Source organism: Homo sapiens, chromosome 14, assembly GCF_000001405.40.
Source record: "Homo sapiens chromosome 14, GRCh38.p14 Primary Assembly".
Taxonomy (NCBI): Eukaryota; Metazoa; Chordata; class Mammalia; order Primates; family Hominidae; genus Homo; species Homo sapiens.
The window spans coordinates 87006889-87026536 of record NC_000014.9 but is presented as its reverse complement, the minus strand read 5'-3'; the positions used below and the strand labels follow the sequence as shown (position 1 = coordinate 87026536).

The 19648-nt window shown below is 34.5% G+C and overlaps 3 annotated features.

The window, feature by feature from the left end:
* Nucleotides 5886-6496: an enhancer, noted in NCBI's record as "NANOG hESC enhancer chr14:87486385-87486995 (GRCh37/hg19 assembly coordinates)". NCBI's record gives its function as "activates a minimal SCP1, AML or CMV promoter by ChIP-STARR-seq in naive H9 embryonic stem cells {active_cell/tissue: H9 hESC(naive)}" and the evidence as "EXISTENCE:reporter gene assay evidence [ECO:0000049][PMID:30033119]".
* Nucleotides 8650-9512: an enhancer, noted in NCBI's record as "OCT4-NANOG hESC enhancer chr14:87483369-87484231 (GRCh37/hg19 assembly coordinates)". NCBI's record gives its function as "activates a minimal SCP1, AML or CMV promoter by ChIP-STARR-seq in naive H9 embryonic stem cells {active_cell/tissue: H9 hESC(naive)}" and the evidence as "EXISTENCE:reporter gene assay evidence [ECO:0000049][PMID:30033119]".
* Nucleotides 16606-17150: an enhancer, noted in NCBI's record as "NANOG hESC enhancer chr14:87475731-87476275 (GRCh37/hg19 assembly coordinates)". NCBI's record gives its function as "activates a minimal SCP1, AML or CMV promoter by ChIP-STARR-seq in primed H9 embryonic stem cells {active_cell/tissue: H9 hESC(primed)}" and the evidence as "EXISTENCE:reporter gene assay evidence [ECO:0000049][PMID:30033119]".

The following is a 19648-nucleotide window of genomic DNA, read 5'->3' as shown; positions in this document are numbered from 1 at the left end:
ATACAAACTGATTCTTATCAACTTTTAAAGAATTAACATCATATAGAATTTTTTTTCTTTTTTTCTTTTTCTTTTTTCTTTGAGATGATGTCTTGCTCTGTCGCCCAGGCTGGAGTGCAGTGGCACGCGATCTCGGCTCACTGCAACCTCTATCTCTTGGGTTCAAGCATTTCTCCTGTCTCAGCCTCCCAAGTAGCTGGGATTACAGTGCCTGCCACCGCGCCTGGCTAATTTTTGTATTTTTAGTAGAGATGGGGTTTCACCATGTTGGCCAGGCTGGTCTTGAACTCCTGACCTCAAGTGATCTGCCTGCCTCAGCCTCCCAAAGTGCTGGGATTACAGGTGTGAGCCACTGCACCCAGCCAACATCATACAGAAAATTTTCTCTAAACATATTGTAGATAATTTAAACAAAAGTATAAAACATATATACTTGGAAGTTGGAAATAAAACTTATATGTTTTATGGCTCCAAGAAGAAATCAATAAATTTTTTAAATATGCAGGAATGAATGATAGGATAACATTATATATCAAAATTGAGGAACACAGACAAAGGAATAATCTGAGGGCAATTTCTAGTCTTAAATGTATATATTGGAAAATAAGGAGGGTGAAAAATAAATGAATCAATTGTCCAGTTTGAGAAGTTAAGAACAGCAGAATAACTGGAGTACAAAGGTGAAAATAAAAATGAAAGCCAAAATCAATACAGAGACAAAAAGAATCCACAATCACATAAGTTGGCTCTGTTAAATACCTAGTAAAAGAGATAACCTCTGGCAAAATAGATGTCCTTTCAACTAAAAAGAAAGAGTAGACAAAAATCCCAGCACTATGAATAAAAAAGGGCTATCATAGCAGGTACTACAGATTCTTTTAAAGGCAAGAAAGAATCTTGTCAAATTTACTTCCAAAAAAAGTAAAAGCTTATCTTACTAAAGCAAACTCAAGAAAAAAGATAAGTTACAAATAGTTTAGTGATTAGAGGGGTCATTTAAAAATTATCCTATTCAGCTTAGACAGATTAATAAGTGAGTTTGCTTAAATAGTAGAATGTGTTAAACATAAAAATTCTTTCAGAGAAGAGAAAAACACAGAATGTTTTCTAGCTCATTTCATTTGAGTATTATATTTAGCATATTTTTATACCAAAAATTTGTGAGGTATAGCAGAAGAATAGAAAGTTTAAATTACCATTTCCTCACATTTTAGTTTGTGAAAAAAAACTAAAAATATAAGAAGCCCAAACTCAACAGAGCATAAATATAAGATTTGACTTACCTTAGTAACACAAAGATATTTTAATATTTAAACATCTTTACATCTGCATGGATAAAAGCCTAATATACGAGAGTCAATTACATATTTACACGACAGCCAAAAAGTTAAAGAAAACACTTTGTAAAAATAGATCAGTTTTAACATTTACAAAAGTATAAAGTTTTTGGTTAAATATCTGTAACGAAACTGTTAAAGAAATGCAGAAATTATAAAATTGCATCAAAAGTCAGCTCAACGACAGAAATAAATGGAGATAGCTCATTTTCATGGAAAGAAAGAATTGACGTCATAAAGATATCTGTTCCCATCACTTTGTTCTGAAGATTTAATAAAATCCATATGGAAATCAAGACAGAGTTTATTGTTTCTTTAAGTACAAATTCATTATACCAAACAATATATTTTATTTATAAATGCTTGACACACACCAAAAATGAAATCTGAATGATATCTTTTACAATAGCATCTCAAGTAACAAATATCTAAGAATAAATGTATATAAGATTTCTATATATGAAATTCAGTCTTTATAGAGAGATTTAAATACCACTACACAGATGACTATAAAACATCCTGGGAATAACTAATAATGAAAAGACACCGTTTTCATAGATTGAAAGAATCCACAATGTAGAGATACAGATTTCCCTCTGATTGTTCATAGTTTTAAAGCAATTGTAATCAAAACCTGTCATTCACATATGTGTGTATGTACGTGTATGTATAAATTGAAAAGATTATTTAAAATATGATATAGAAATGCAGAGATCTAAAAACAGATGATATGCTCTAGGAGCTTTAAAATATGGTATGAGAACTTAAAATGTTTGTATAAAAAATAGTATAATGTTGACCAAGTATAAATAGTACAAAAAATATGCCATAAGAAAAAAACAGAACCATATCCACATTGACACTTAATTTGAGAGAAAGGTGCAATTTCAGAGTAATGGGCAGAAAGTCTTTTTAATAAACAAATGGAAACAGTTTGATATCCAGAGTTGTAGGGGAGAGGGGCTGGGGAAGAATCTTGGCCCCGACCTTACACCATATGCCAAAATAGCAATTTCACATGGAGTATACACTTAACTATAAAAGAGTACCAAATATATAATATATAAGCCATGAGCAACTTTTAGAATATAATGCAGAAAAATTCTTTTATGCTTCGGGGTAGGAAAAGATTTTGCAAACAGTATACAAAATGCACCAATCACAAAGGAAAATATCAAGAAATTTGATTATATTTATATTCAAAATTTCCATTCTTGGGAAATATATACATATATATTTGTATATATAGACACAAACACACAACAAGAGGGAGAGAGAGAGAGAGGGGTGCTACCATTGAGTGTGAAAAGACAAACCACACAGTTAGAGAAAATATGTAAAACAAATATTACCAATAAAAGATTATGTAGAATATAAGGGAATCCAACAATTCAAAGAGAAAAAGAGACATCAAAAAGGAAAAATGGGCAATTACAAGGGAAAAATATGTTTAGCCATAAAACATATGGAAATGGACTCAATATTATTAGTAAGCAAATAAACACAATTTTAAATTGTGATATACCACTACCCATCCATCAGAATGGCTAAAAAATTAATAAAACAAAAACTCACTCAAAACAAAAACTCAGTAGATGTGGATGAAAACATAGAAGAATAAGAACTTGTATATATTTCTTATATATGTTCAAATTCACTCATTCATTTCAGCATTTTCTATTAAATTTTAATTTGTGCATCCTTTATGACTCATAAATTTTAGTCTCAGTATTACTCTAGAGAAATGTATGCATATTTGCAACAATTCATGGAGATGCTATTCTTAATAGCTCCAAACTGAAAACACCTAAATTGCTATCAGATAAATTAATTGTGGTTACATTCATACAGTAGAATACTATACAGAAATAAAAATGAATGAACTATACCTAAATGTTACAACACGAAGGTATCTTAAAAGCTTAACGTTGTTCAAAAGAAGCCAGATACAAAATAATGCTATATTTTTCCGCTAACAAAATATTCTAAAGCAGGAAAATTATACTACATTACTAATGCACACTTATAAAGCATGACAGGGTAGTGATTATCAATAAAAGTAACAAACTGATTACATTCAGAAAGAAGAAAGAGATTGTGATTGAAAAGAAGCATTTGGAAAACTTCTGTGAAGGAAGCTTTGTTCTATTTCTTGGTGTTTACATTATAATATGTTATGCAGCTGCACATTTATATTTTATGCACATCTCTGTAAGTATGTTCTATTTCACAGTAAAATAGTGTTTTCAAAAGTGTGTATAGACTTGTGAATTGGCTAGATGGTCCAATATATTTTTGAAAGAGTATATTTAGGAGGGGCCTATAGAAAGATTTATAAAAAGTACAACTAATTAAGACAGTGTTATGTGTATACAGAGATCACACTGCCTTAATGAGTGTGTGACCAGTGGAACAGAATAGACAGCTCAGAAGCAGGCTCTTGTGAGAATTGTGTATAGAAACGAGGTAGCATAGCAAATTACTGATGAAAGAATGTATTGTTCAATAAATGTAGATAAAATATGTACTATGCCTAAGTTAAAAATTAGATCTCTAGCTAAGACCATGTATGTAACTAAGCTACAGATGAATTTAAGCATTTAAATACCAAAAGAAAAAAATTTAAACTTGTAAAAAAACAGAAGAATATCTTTCTCACCTCAAGATATGAAAGGATTTCTTAAACGAACACAGGAAGTCGTGATCATGACTACAAAGACTAATACTTTTGTCTATATTAATATCAGAAAGTTCTGTTTATCAAAATACACCTTTAAAATATGTAAATGAAACCTAAAAACTAGGAGAAAATATGTACACCACATTTAACCAACAAAGAATTTCAAACAAGCATATATAAAGAACATCTATATATCATTAAGAGAAAATTTCAACAGCAGTAGACTTGAACATATATATATATAATAGCCATATGAGTAACTATCAATCTCACTACTAACAAGAAAAATGCAAATTAGGAACATAATGAGAAATTATTCTACAATCACTTGATTGGAAAAAGCCGAGAAGTCTGACAATACCCATTGTCAATCAAAGTAATATTTTATACAATGCTGGTAGAAGTGGAAATCAGTAAAACCACTTCAGAAAACAATTTAGCATTGTTTTATTAAGTGGGATATTCGCATAACCTATGACTCACAAAACCCAGAGCTAGGTATACATGCAAGATAAATTTTATGTTACGTGCCAGAAGACATTTCCAAGAATATTCATTGTATTTCTTCTATTTATAATAGGTAATAAATAACGAAATAACTTTCAATGGGAAAACTGATTCAAAAAATGATGGCCACAATGGAATATCATAAAGCAGTGAAAATAAATGAACTGCAACTTAACACACAAAAGATAGGTCCTAGTAGCATAATTCAGAACAATTTGACATTAAAAAAACAAATTAAAGAAAAACAAATTTTATTATCTTAATAACATTTTACTCATTTTAGTTATATAGTAGTCCTTCCTTATCCAAAGGGAATACACTCTAGGATCCCCAGTGGATGCCTGAAAACACAGTTGATACCAAACTCCCTATATTTTATGTTTTTTCCTGTATGAACTTATATGGTAATGATATATTTAATTTATAAATTAGGCATAGTAAGAGATTAACAATAATAACTGGCCTGGCATGGTGGCTCATGCCTGTAATCCCAGCACTTTGGGAGGCTGAAGCGGGTGGATCACCTGAGGTCAGGAGCTCGAGGCAGCCTGGTCAACATGGCAAAAGCCCATCTCTACTAAAAATACAAAAATGAGCTGGGCATTGTGGTGGGCGCCTGTAATCCCAGCTACTGGGGAGGCTGAGGCAGGAGAATCGCTTGAACCCGGGAACCCAGGAGGCAGAGGTTGCAGTGAGCTGAGATAGTGCCACTGCACTCCAGCCTGGGCAACAAGAGCTAAACTCCATCTCAAATAAACAAACAAACAAAAAACACAATGATAACTAATAACAAAGTAAGGTAATTATAACAAAATACTGTAATAAAAGTTATGTGAATGTGGTCTCTCTCTCTTTCTCAATATCTCTTATTATACTGTGGTCACTTATTTTCAAAGGCGATCATGGGTAAATGAAACCCCTAGTAAGAGGGCACTACTGTATATGTATGCATTCATATGTATTGTAAAATGGATAGTAGAGTAATATATCTGTATATATAAGCATTGAAGGGGTGGCCTATCCCTCCACATGCCCGGCGCTCGGCATACGGAGGACTCGCGCTGGCACGGGTCTCTGAGTTCCCTCAGTATTTATTGATCATTATCTCTACCATCTCGGAGAGGGGGATGTGGCAGGACAATACGGTAATAGTGGGGAGATGGTCAGCAGGAAAACATGTGAACAAATGTCTCTGTGTCATAAACAAGGTTAAGAAAGAGGTGCTGTGCTTTGATGTGCACATACATAAACATCTCGGTGCATTAAAGAGCAGTATTGCTGCCAGCATGTCTCACCTACAGCCTTAAGGTGGTTTTCTCCTATCTCAGTAGATGGAACATACAATCAGGTTTTACACGGAGACATTCCATTGCCCAGGGAAACAGATGCCTTACTCTTATCTCAACTGCAAAGAGGCCTTCCTCTTTTACTAATCCTCCTCAGCACAGACCCTTTACGGGTGTCCGGCTGGGGGATGGTCAGGTCTTTCCCTTCCCAGGAGGCCATATTTCAGACTATCACATGGGGAGAAACCTTGGACAATACCTGGCTTTCCTAGGGAGAGGTCCCTGCGGCCTTCCGCAGTGTATGGTGTCCCTGGGTACTTGAGATTAGAGAGTGGTGATGACTTTTAACAAGCATACTGCCTTCAAGCACTTGTTTAACAAAGCACATCCTGCATAGCCCTAAATCCATTAAGCCTTGAGTCAACACAGCACATGTCTCTGCAAGCACAGGGTTGCGGGTAGGGTTACAGATTAACAGCATCTCGAGGCAGAGGAATTTTTCTTAGTACAGAACAAAATGGAGTCTCTTATGTCTACTTCTTTCTACATAGACACAATAACAGTCTGATCTTTATTTTCCCCACAAGCATATTATATGTACATGTATATATACATATATACGATATATCCATGTGTGTATATGTCATATATATTGTATACATATAATAAACACAAACTTCAACAGAGTGATAACTGGAAAGGAAGATGAGAACATACCGCGGTGAGATAGAAGAAAAGCCCAAAGGTATAATTAAGTTATTGGAAATATTATATGTTTGGGACTGGATAATAGTTTCCCATTTACTTACTATACTACTGCCAATAAATGAATAAGGGGCTGAGCTAATGGAGATAAAACCATAAAATTGCTTGTGTTCTCTGTGTATTAAAACTGAGTTTCTTTCATCAATTGCTATGAAGGTTGGTTTTACCATAGATTTCTAGCACTAAAACCACTACTTACACATTATTTACCAGCATGCACTGGTCTACCTCCTTTCCATTACAAAGCTTCTTATTAGCCTTTAGCTAGCTATGTAAACTGAGGCAGCCAGTTAAGACCTAAAAGCTCAGATTTCTTTCTTGGTGTAATGGAATAAAAAATACCAACCCTGACTATTTTACAGGGTTGTAGCCAGTTCAAAAGAATCAATATAGGAGAAATCTCTGTGAATCCTATCAACTACACTGCTATTGTAATATTTCTATTAGAATAGAATAATGCTTCTTAATGCATTATTATTAGAAATTGCACTCAAATTTGAATGCTAAATATAGTCTACTAATAAATATAAAGCTACATTTATTCACTGACTTGTAAATTATATATTAGTAAGCATGTTCTGGACACAAAAGACCATTTGGAGTTTTGGGGTCAGAAAATTCACAGTAATCTGATAGACTCTGCCTAATAAAAGTAACTGTACTTTTAGGTAGGTGATGCTGACAGATGCATGCCAGTCCTAATCTCCCATGACAACTAAGACAGTCATCCCCCACACTGCTACAGATTTCAGTAGCGAGTCTTCCTTAATTTCCCTCTTTGCTCTGTATATCCTGTTTTAACAGCCCCCATCTCAACAGCCCTGCATTTCCCCATTCAGGGGTGCTTGGAGTGGAAAATTTACAATTTCTTTTTTTTTTTTTTTTTTTTTTTGCGATGGAGTCTCACTCTCTCACCCACGCTGGAGTGCAGTGGTACAATCTCGGCTCACTGCAACCTCTACCTCCCAGGTTCAAGCAATTCTCCTGCCTCAGCCTCCCAAGTAGCTGGGACTACAGGTGCCCACCACCACGCCCAGCTAATTTCTTTTTTGTATTTTCAGTAGAGACGGGGTTTCACTATGTTGGCCAGGCTGGTCTTTAACTCCTGACCTCGTGATTCATCTACCTCAGCCTCCCAAAGTGTTGGGATTACAGGTGTGAGCCACCGTGTCCGGCATAATTTCTTTTTTTAAAAAAACTGACTTTTGGCTCCCAAAGCCCTAATTTCAAGATACATTCTTTTTCATGTGGATCTATTATTTATGTAAGAGAGACTTGCTCAAACGTTCATCAAGTCAGATGTAACTTGATAAATCTCAGTTAGATCATTGTGGACTCTTTTCTTATCCAATGAGAATAAACTGACTTTTCTCCATCTCTTTTCCATAATATGGCTTGAAACCTGACACTATTTGGGTTGAAGGAGGTAAAACTTCTTTGACAGCAATTACATAGTTATTTAAGCATGGTGACTAAGACTTGAATTGTCTCCAGGCAAGATTTTTAACAGGAGGCTTTATATTCTTAACAATGCCTCAGGTAATTTCTACTGTTTTTTTCTTAACTTCCCATCTCAGTATCTGTACCATTTCCTTGGAAAAGACATCAACAGAATTTCAAATTGGCAAATGGGAATTGGGATAAACTTAGAGGTGCCTAAGATACAGATATGATATAGATAGGTAGATGAGATAAGTAGATGATAGATAGATAGATAATCACTTTGGTTTTTATAAGATGGTTTGCAAGCTAACTCATCATATAATTATAATAAATATTGAATTTCCTTAAACAAATCTTCATTTTTTTCTCAACTGAGGATCAACTCATACTCTACTTACCTCAATATGTTAATCACACCTTGATCTTGCAGATTTAAAAACAAAAATCAGAAATAATAAAATGAAAAGATGTACTCTTAAAAAATAACATCTTAAATGAAAAATCAGAAGAAATTTCTTCAAGTACATTTTATGTTATCTAAGTAATATTCCAAAATTGGTTTCAAGAAGAAACTAATTTTGACCTCTTAAGCAAACACTTTCTTGTTTGACATGTGTCCTTAAATTTGGAAATTTAATATAATTGTTGGCATAAAGTTACTGTATGTTAGCTTTCTGTGTCATTGTGCTTGTCAAAAATCAACAATTTATTTGAGTATAAGGAATCCTTCAAGGATGAATACCAAGAGCTCATATTAAGATTTTGGTTAAAAGTGGAGCTGAGAAAGTTAGTATTTATCTAATTCTTACATAATCCTTATGTAGGCAATGTAATTTTTTTTTTCAAAAATCTTTTGAACTCTGAGATTAACTATGCAGGGGATAAAGAACTAGAAGGCATCCCTTTAGTATCTGGGGACCAGCAAAAGGGATTACTTACTACCTTAATTGCCCAGCTAATGGTCTTTGGTCTCATCTATAGAAGTAACAGCAGGTGCTCACTGCAATACATTAAGAGTCTATAACGCTCAGGAATGTTGGAAGCCAAAACTAACAGATACTCACCATATCCTTTGAAGTGCCCTCCTAAACTCTTAGTACTCTAAATATCTCTAGAAAAGAATACTTTTGCAAAATTAAGACGCTGTGGTGCTTTAAAATATCTCATGCTAAAATTTCAGGAATTTAGGGATGCCCTCGGATATTTCAGGGTCTAAATACACTGTTAAGAATGTAACAGTTCTTCACCGCTCCACAGGCGATAGTTGGCATGAAATGCATGTGGCCTCTCTCGCAGTTGGGAAATTCCTTGTATCTTTCATCAGTGATGCGCAGGTTAAAAAAAAAATAAACTACTTAGCTTTTACTCAGTGTTTAATAAATGTTCATTGGGATGAATCTACCAAGTTGAGATAAAATTATCTTTAAAATGTAGGCCATTATCTGTAGCATAAACCCCTGGTAAAACTTCACAATGGTATTTTTTTATTTACTGCACTATTGCTTTTGGATTATGCAAACTCATAACCTAACATATATAAGCTTTTCTTGGTAAGTGTTAGTGCAACTAGACTAATACATGTCCTACAATATCTTACAGTAATCATTATATCCAATCTTTACATATCAGCCAAGGAAGATGGATATTACAGCATAACAATTTTTTAAAGAAAACTTGAAACGTAACAAAAACATTTAAAATGAGATCATTTAAAGAGCAGAAACATTAGGAGATTTAGAAACTGACTAATAATACTTCTGTCTTCCATGTCAAGAAGTAAGCATTAAAGAGATAGCATCTCACATCAGTTAGAAGGGCGATTATTAAAAAGTCAGGAAACAACAGATCCTGGAGAGGATGTTGAGAAATAGGAACACTATTACACTGTTGGTGGGAGTGTAAATTAGTTCAACTGTTGTGGAAGACAATGTGACGATCCCCAAGTATCTAGAACCAGAAATACTATTTGACCCACCAATCTCATTACTGGGTATATACCCAAAGGATTACAAATCATTCTACAAAAAAAAGAGACACATGCACACTATGTTTATTGCAGCACTATTCACAATAGCAAAGACTTGGAACCAACCCAAACACCCATCAATGATAGACTGGATAAAGAAAATGTGGCATATATAAACCACGGAATACTATGCAGCCATAAAAAAGGATGAGTTCATGTCCTTTGCAGGGACATGGATGAAGCTGGAAATCATCATTCTCAGCAAACTAATACAGAAACAGAAAAACACCGCATGTTCTCACTCATAAGTGGGAGTTGAACAATGAGAACATATGGACACAGGGAGGGGAACATCACACACCAGGGCCTGTCAGGGGATGGGGGATTGGTGGGGGATAGCATTGGGAGAAATACCTAATGTAGATGATGGGTTGATGGGTTCAGCAAACCACCATGGAACATGTATACCTATGTAACAAACCTGCACATTCTCCACATGTATCCCAGAACTTAAAGTATATTACAAAAAAAGAAAGAAGAATGAAACAAACAAACAAACAAACACAGCCCAATACTGCTCTCAATCAAAGAGACTGGGTTATTAAAATACGATCTTTTGAAGGGACAGAACCTTGTCCCTTTAGTTCTCTAGTTTCCTGAGATAAATAACTGGACATCCACTTATAGCCAAGGGACACATTCCATTACATTCAACTATTTCTGTTTCAGAGAGTTCCGTATACTTGTAAACCTACATCAGGGTAAAATCTTCATCTCTGTGTCCAAGAGCAGTAAGGAAATGTTGAAGAAGCCTATACTATATTCCTCATTTTAACCTCTGTCTTCTTATAAATAAGTTTCTTATTTTAAAAGCTTGCATGCCAGTATGTCTAATTCAATCATTCTCAATCAGGTTAGTAAGAGAAGTAGAAATTAGAATGCTGAGCATTATAAGCTTTCACTTTGTGATAATAAAATAGCAGAGAGTTTCCATTATAGTTTCTGAAAATTTAGGCAGAGCCAGATTCCATTTTCTTTCAGATAGGTCTGCCTATACTGAAAGTTTTAAAACTCCCGGGTTACATTTAAAGCAAACGAAGAATTTTTCCATTTTCTAGGTATCTAGCATGGATCGTTGAATCTTTATAGCTTTGGCATGGAGGAAAAACATTGTGCTCCCTTGATAGGCAAGCAATATCTTTCTTTCCTAGAGGCATTATAATATCATGGCTAAGAACATGTACATGTGTTGAAGATGACACTAGGTGTGTTATGATGAACCACATGGTTAAGATCTCTGAACCTCAACTGTTCTAAATATAATATTCGTATCTCATTGGAAGTTTCGTGAAGGCAAATGAGGTATTATATATGTTGCACAGGAAAACAGCAGCCTCTGCAATGAATATCTGCCACATCTGTCTTCCCAGTGTCCGTTTGTCCCAAATTAACATTAGAATGGGGAACAGGTATTTATGGGCATGTACCTTCCCAGTCCTTACCACTTGGTGGCACTGATTGGTTTAAAGATTGAGATGTGATGTAAACAAGTCAATCATAATCCTTCCCTGAAATTGGTCCATAAAAGAGACCTGAACATGCAGAAGTCAAGGTGAAAGATGAGGGGATGGATGTAATTAGAAAGAAAGTGAAAGCTTTTATGATCATTTCTGTTCTTGGTTCCAGTGTGCCTGAAGTTTTATCTAACCTCAGACTTAGCAGTTACGCCGTCTAATAAGCTGGCCCCTTCTTTTTCATTGGGTATGCTAATTACACTGGGGTTGTATCACTGACAGTTGGAGGTTTTGACTCATGGAGTCAGTACCTTCTGAACACTTTGGGTTTTCTTGGAATCCTATTGCAATCTTCAGTCATATGCTGATATAATTAGAAGGCTTTTTGAGAAAGTATTCTCTGCCTTGATTGTCATTGCTCCTTTTCACAGTTGAGATTGGTTAGTGGGACAACCAAAAAATAAAAAATAAAAAAACACTTTAATCTATAAAGTTTAAACCCTTAATGCTTTAACAATAAGGTTTTAAATGACTGCTCATCTTCAAGTGTGAGAAAAACTCTTACTTTTAATTATATGATACCTTGTAAATAGAAAATACGGTGTTTCTTGTTATGCATTGTAGTTGTTTCCAGTAACAAGTCAAGCTTGGTGTAAATATCTATTTTACCACTAACTAATAGGTGATTCTGGAAGAGCTACTTAACCTCCCTCAACTTCAGTTTGCTTTTCTGTAAAATACGAAATTTAATAATACCTAACTCCTAAAATTTTTATATGAACTAATTGAGAAAATACATGAGCACAGCTTAGCTAGTTTCTGTTACAGATAATTTTCTCAATTGGTTGGTATTTTTCAGCATTGTTCTTTCTAAGGATATTAACTCATTCTGGCTTTATCAGGCCTCTCTTTGGGAATTGCTTAGCAAGGAATTACTTCCCTGCTTTGAGGGTAGACCTGTGTTTATGTACAAAAATTACCAAAATCATTCTGACTTTTCCATCTTGATCTCTTTTCTTAACCAGACCCTCCATCTATTCTCTAGCTTGTCTATTGCTTTTAAGCTGAATTTACTTGATCAAATGCTTCTAAGTTAATGTGGGTTAAAAATGAAACTCAAGCCAGCTGTACTGATTTGGAGTTTATGAAGCATAATTATTTTTAGGAGACTGTGTAGAGGTTAACATTATTGTTTTGGTTATGAATCACATACAGAACCCTTTATTTTTGCAAGGAGTTTTGGCATCGTTTCATAATTTAAAGTCAAAAGTGACTCAGTGGAGGATATGTCACCCATTGCAGATGCAAAAGGAAAGATAAAAGGACCTAAATAATTGCAGAGCAAGTTCATCACTAACCAGAGGGTCAAAGCTTGGGTTTCCTAAAGACTGTTCCTATAAGACTGACTCAACCAAGTTCACACAAGACCAACTCAACCCGGTAGGTAAAAATTCTCACAACTGGATATCATTAGCTTAGCTCTCTCTCTTTTTTACTCCTAAATAAACATTATGGAGAGAAATTTAATTAATAGAATCAACCCATTTTTATGATGGTACAATGGTTAACTTACATGACAACACTTCATGGATTTAAGAAATTTAAAAAACTAGGTCACATTGATTTAAATATGGGATGTATTAAATAGTTTAAACTTTCTTTGTTTCAGTGTAATGTTTGTCATTTATTAGTCAACTATTGTTACCTTGAACTCACTTTAGAAGGGCACTCTATCCACTAGTTATCTGCCTATACCAACTTGTCAAATGACCAATTAGGGTCAGTCTTCTATAAAAATAATCAGAAATTTCAGATTATTATTCTGTTTTATGGTGTGCTATTTGCTTAAGGCATATGTCTTGGTCATTTGAAGTTGCTATTAAAAGATACCACGTCCTAGGTAACTTAAACAACAGTTGTTTTTCACAGTTCTAGAGGTTGGGAAGTCTGAGGTCAGAATGTCAACTCAATTGGGTTCTGGCGAGTGACCTCTCCCTGGTTTTCTCAACTGGTAGACAGCAGGAAAGGAAGCAGGCTCTCTTTTGTCTCTTTCTTATAAGATCACTAATGCCACCATGAGGGCTTCATCCTCATGACCTAATTATCTCCCCAAATCCCCATCTTCAAGTACCATCACATTAAGAATTAGAGGTTCAGCATATGAGTTCAATGGAAATACAAGCCTGCAGTCTATATCATCCTTTCGGAAAAGACAGGGCCTCATAAATGGGATGAGCTGAATTCTATGCAGATCTATTCAGTCGTTACAGGTATTCAAATTTGAGGGTAAATGAGAAAACTCTTTAAATAGATTAAATATCTTCCTTTAGGAGTTAAAAAATGCTACTCACCAGGAAATCTTTCTTAAATAATGAGAATTCATTACTTCCTAAGAAAGAAACCTAAAGTAAATGTGTACATTTACTTCATAAAATGGTTATCACCCGTTTGAAACTCAAGTGAGATAAAATAAGGATTCTCAGAAATATTTACTTGATTATTTGCAAACATGGAAAAACCACATCAAGTAGTATTAGGCAGAAACAGTAGCAATCCCGCCAAGCTTAGGTGTAGGCTTGGGAATTAGTTTGATCCTGGAGTCCAAACAATATCATCAGGAATTGGCATCTCTTCATTTTTTTCTTTTCTTTTTTTTTTTTTTTTCCTTCACATAATGACCCTAGCAAACTCAGTTCAAACTCTCCTAGGCTCGAATCCACCCAAAGTATGAACCTGACATGGTTTCAGAAAAAAAAAAAAATTAAAAAGAGAATTTTCTCTAATAATTTCAATACAAAGCCTCAGATTCGACTCTTGTGTGTTAATTTTAGACCAAATTTAATCATATGTCTACACCGGATCTTGGCAAACAGAATGTCAAGTTGGCTTTGATTTGGATCACATGTATATTTCTGGAGCTAAGGTTAGCCCCAAAACCTTATGGAAAGAAAAGGAAAAAGGTAACTTCCTAAAGGAAATTCAACCAACACTAGGCAGTAGGAACAACAGATGTCTATCAAAATAAAGAACAAAACAACTAGTTCCACAGTCATTCATCACTTTACCTATTTTGTACAACAGTTTTAATAGAAATGCTAGAATGATTCTATCTTGTTCACTGACATTTATTTCAATAAACACTGAATTCTAGAAAAAATTTGAGATGGAATCATAGATTTTTTTAGGGTAAAATTTCTACTAAATTTCCATTTGTGTCTCAGAGAAAATGGCTCCAACTGGATTTTTCTTAAATAAACAGCCTATTAAATATTTCCACTGTAAAAATCTATTCCAGAGGACAACTAACTCCTGCACCTGTTTCTTTAAATAAATGTTTTCTTGTATCTTTGGTTTTTACTACTCCTATAATGCTTCTGAGTATTATACATTATACAGTATCTGAGAGACCATTTCTATTTCACCAGACTTAATTCAAGGCAGCCAAATTAAATCATCTCAGTGATTTAGGAATTTCCCAAGAAGACCTTCAGACCTCAAATTAAAAGGAGTCAACTTAAGTGCTTAATTGTTTTACAGATTTTTTCTTCATTGATTTTAATTAAGGTCTTCCTTGTCTTCTGAGCTTGGAGGACTTTTATTATCCTTTGAAATAACTTTATTTGAAGTCAGGTTGGCCAACAAGTCACACAGACTTAATAATTTTACAGGAGCAAGTTATCTTGATATATCGGGAAACAAAAATCCACCTTCCCTTGTCAGTGAGACTTAAAACTGCATATTGATTTCTTTTAAACATCAATTGAGTACCTAAGAGGAGGTAGCAATTCTAGGGAATGTGACATATCAGAGCCCAAAACTGTGGGTACAACCTTGGAGAAGGAAATTGGCTGTAAGCAACTGACCTCTAAGTTTCCCTGTAACAATTCATTTTGTAACTCTTCAAATAAGATAGTTGTTTGGCTCATTTTCCTAGGGCTGGAAGAGCTTCTGCAAGCTTTATCATTAGCTTTCCCAAGTGCAATGGTAACAGCCAGTCTAGGTGCCCTTCCCCTTTCAAGGGGCTGATAGAAGCGAAAAATGTGTTCAACACAGTCTTCTGTTTAAAAGGGGGCAGATTTGAGGTTAGATAGCCTGGGTTTCATGTCCCTGGTCTGCCATTCACCAGTGTGTAGCATGAGATAATTACATATCCTCTCCAAGTCTGAGTGCTGAAATCTGAGAAATGGGGAGAACAATATTATCTACTTCAAATTTGTTTAGTGTCCTCTTCAATTCATTTTTTGAGAATGACGTGGTGTATCTAATATTTATAGGTATGTAAACTTTGTGTGACATATATAATAAAATTCTTTTGTACAAAATAAAAGGAAGAAGGTGTAGTATGTTAGTTATGGTTCTCCAGAGAAACTTAATGAGGAATTGTCTCACATGATTATGGAGACTGAGGAGTGCCACAGTCTGCCATCTGCAAGCTGCATAACTGGAATAAGCCAGTGGCCACGGGTGTAATTCAGTCAGAGTCCAGAGACTTGAGAATCAGGGAGTCAATGGTATGAATTTCAGTCCAAAGGTAGAAGAGGAAATAAGCTGACCCAGTGCACGCAGTAAAACGGAAAAAAAAAAGAAAAAGTGAGTTTCTCCTTCATCCGCCTCTTGTATTCTTCAAGTTCTCAACAGATTGGATGATACCCACCACATTGAAGAAGGCAATGTGCATTACTAAATCCACTAATTCAAATGCTAAGGTTATCCCAAAGCACCCACACAGACACACCACAAAACGGTGTTCAATCGGGGCACCCTGTGGTCCATTCAAGTTGACATAAAATTAACAATCACAAGGTAAATATCTTGCATGGTGAATGATCAGGGCAGGAATGGATGAAGGCCAGATAATGCAGCAGGTCTCATAGTTGCTAAATAGCAAGATTTTATTTGGTGGAGATGTAGCAGAGATTAGTCATAGACTCCCTTTATTTTAGATTCTTTCACTTGAAAATCCCCTTTGTACAGGCCCTATTCCCTGAGGGCCTTTAATATGCTTATTGCTTTAAAGATTGTGTTTTTTTTAAATAACATAAATCACATGGAGTAATAAAACAATGTTTACATATAAAAATTATGAATAAATGTTAAGTATTAGTATCATCATATCACTATTATTATTATTTTCTCTATTATCTTCTCTCCATGCCTCTCATATTAAAGATATGAACATAAGCTTGCATAAGTCACCCAGAGGGAGGCTTGTAGACTCTGGGAATAAATCTAGGTGTTCTCCACTCCTCAATCCTTGTCTAGCATTTTATATTTTCTACAGAAACTCATTCAATCACATCAGATGCAGCTAAAAGTCTGATGACCCCGACACATCAGACACATCCTCAATTAGTAAAACAGTCACATCTAAAAGTCCTTCTATCTCTCTTAAATCCTGCCAATTGTCCTGAGAAGACCACTGAGCCTCCATTTGCATAAATTACCACATCACTGAAAATGTTTTACTCTTCAAATCTGAGCGATTTACCTTATGTTTGAAGAAACACTTTTATATTTTAGACTAAAAGGTGCATGTATGATTAAAATTTATGGCAATAACAAACACAGAAACATTCATTTAAATCACTGCTTGAATTAAATGGGAATAGGACTCTTGCCTCCTTATTACAGAACATAGAAGAAAATTTTTGGATTCTCCCCTTATGAAAATGTAAGCCTTTCTCTCCAGTTGTCTCTCCAGCTGAAGCTGGCTCAACAGCTTCAGCCGCTGGAGAAATTGAGATACATAACTTATACTATATAATGTCATGTAAGTGGTACTTTATTTTTATTTCTTTGTACTGGGAGGTGTTATAAATTAAATTCTTAACTGCAGGGACTTGTCAGGTGACTCAGCTTAGCTATACTTAGCACATCACATGGAATATTGACCCAATCCAGTAACATTTAACTGCACATACTGAGCATATTTTCAAAGGCATAAATATGTACATATAAAACCTACAGCTTGGTGTAACAGCTATAGAACACACAGAAACTGGGTACAGTCTGAGATACACAGACTGCATTTCTCATGGTTAAGATATCAATTTTTTCATCAATTAAAATGAAGAAGTCAGATATTACAATTAGCCAGGTGGTGGAGAGAAAAGTCTGGGACATTACCAACATACTTAATCTTATTTTTTCCTTGAAGGTTTTGTTTATCATCAATTTATTTCAAAGCAGCATCTAATTCAGTGCTCATAATTATCTGATTCTATACAGATATTTTTTGCTATTAAAACACTGCAGTTTTGGACAGATATTTTTCCTCTTTTAAAGATGGAATAAGAAGAAGCAAGATTCTCTGAAAGATCTACACACTGAAAACTATAAAGCAATGAAAGAAATTGAAGAAGATACAAATAAATAGATATTTTTTGTTTATGAATTGGAATCATTTATATTGCTAGAATGTCCATATATCCAAAGCAATCTACAAATTCAATAAAACTCCTATCAAAATTTCAATGACTTTTTTTTACAGAAACAAAAAAAGAGTCCTAAAATTTGTATGAAACCACAAAAACCTCAAATAGCCAAAGCAATCTTGATCTGAAAGAACAAGACATCTTAATATCTGATCTCAAAATCCACTACAGAGCTATAGTAATCCAAACAGTATGGTACTGGCACAAATACAGATATACAGATTAATGGAACAGAATACAGAGCCCAGAAATACATCTACCCTTTTATGTTAAATTGATTTTAGACAAAGATGGCTAAGAACACATAATGGGAAAAGGATCATCTGTTCAATAAATTGTACTGAGGTAACTGGATATCCACAAGCAGAAGAATGAAATTAGACCCTATATTATACCACATACACAAATCAATTAAAAATGGATTAAAGAATCAAACATAAGACCAAAAATTGTAAAACTACCAGAAGAAAACATAGGAGGAACGTTTTTTGACATTAGTGTTGGCCAAGAATGTTTGGATATGACCTAAAAAGCATAAACAGCAAAAGAAAAAATAGACAAATGGGATTGCATCAAACTACAAAGCTTCTGCACAGGAAAGAAAACAATCAACAGAATAAAGAGACAGTCTATGAAAATAGAGAAACTATTTGCAAGCAATACATCTAATAATGGGTTAAAACCCAAAATACTTAAGAAACTCAATAGCAAGAAAACAGACATCCTGATTAAAAAATAGGTAAAAAGCATAAACAGATATTTCTTTAAAAACACTTTAAAAAGGCCAACAGTATAGGAAAAATGCTCAACATCACAGTGATGGTTTAATATAATTTGTTACCCTGAAAAACTCATGCTAAATCTTGGTCTTATATGTGGTGGTGTTAAAAAGTGGTGCTTCTAAGAGGTGATTAGGTCATGAATATAAGTTAACGTCATTTTTGAGAGATTAGTTTGGTTTACTCAGTAATGGGTTAGTTTCTGTGAGAGCAAGTTGTTATAAAACAAAGTTGCCTTTCATGTTTGCCCCTCTTTTTCCCCCCAAGTGCCTTGTTTCCATTCCATTTTTCTACCATGTTTTGACACAGAATGAGATTCTCACTAGAAGCCACCAGAGGCAGCCACCAAATCTTGAACTTCCCAGCCTATAGAACCATGAGCTAAATGAACCTTTCTTCTTTATATATTCCAAGCTCCAGGTATTCTGTTATAGAAGCACAAAATGAACGAAGACAATCATCCGGGAAAGGCAAATGAAGCCACAACGGAATAGTACTCATGCTTATTAGAATCGCTACTATCAAAAAGACAAAAATTGACAAGCCTTTGCATGGATGTGAAGAAAGTGGAACTCCCCCACACTGTTGGTGGAAACATAAATTAGTACAGCCATTATGAAAAACAGTATGGAGGTTCCTCAAAAAATAAAAATAAAACTACCATATGATTCAGCAACTCCATTTCTGAATATAAATTCAAAAGAAATGAAGTGTTTCAAAGAGATATTTGCAAAAGATAATGCTGCACATTCATTGTAGCATTATTAACAATACCCAAGATACTCAGTTACTCTAAGTCTCCATTAACAGATGAATGGATAAAGATAATGTGGTATTTGTACACAAGGAAATAACATTTAGTTATCTTGAGGACATTATACTAAGTGAAATAAGCTAGGAACAGAAAGGCAAAATATTGCATGATCTCACTTATATG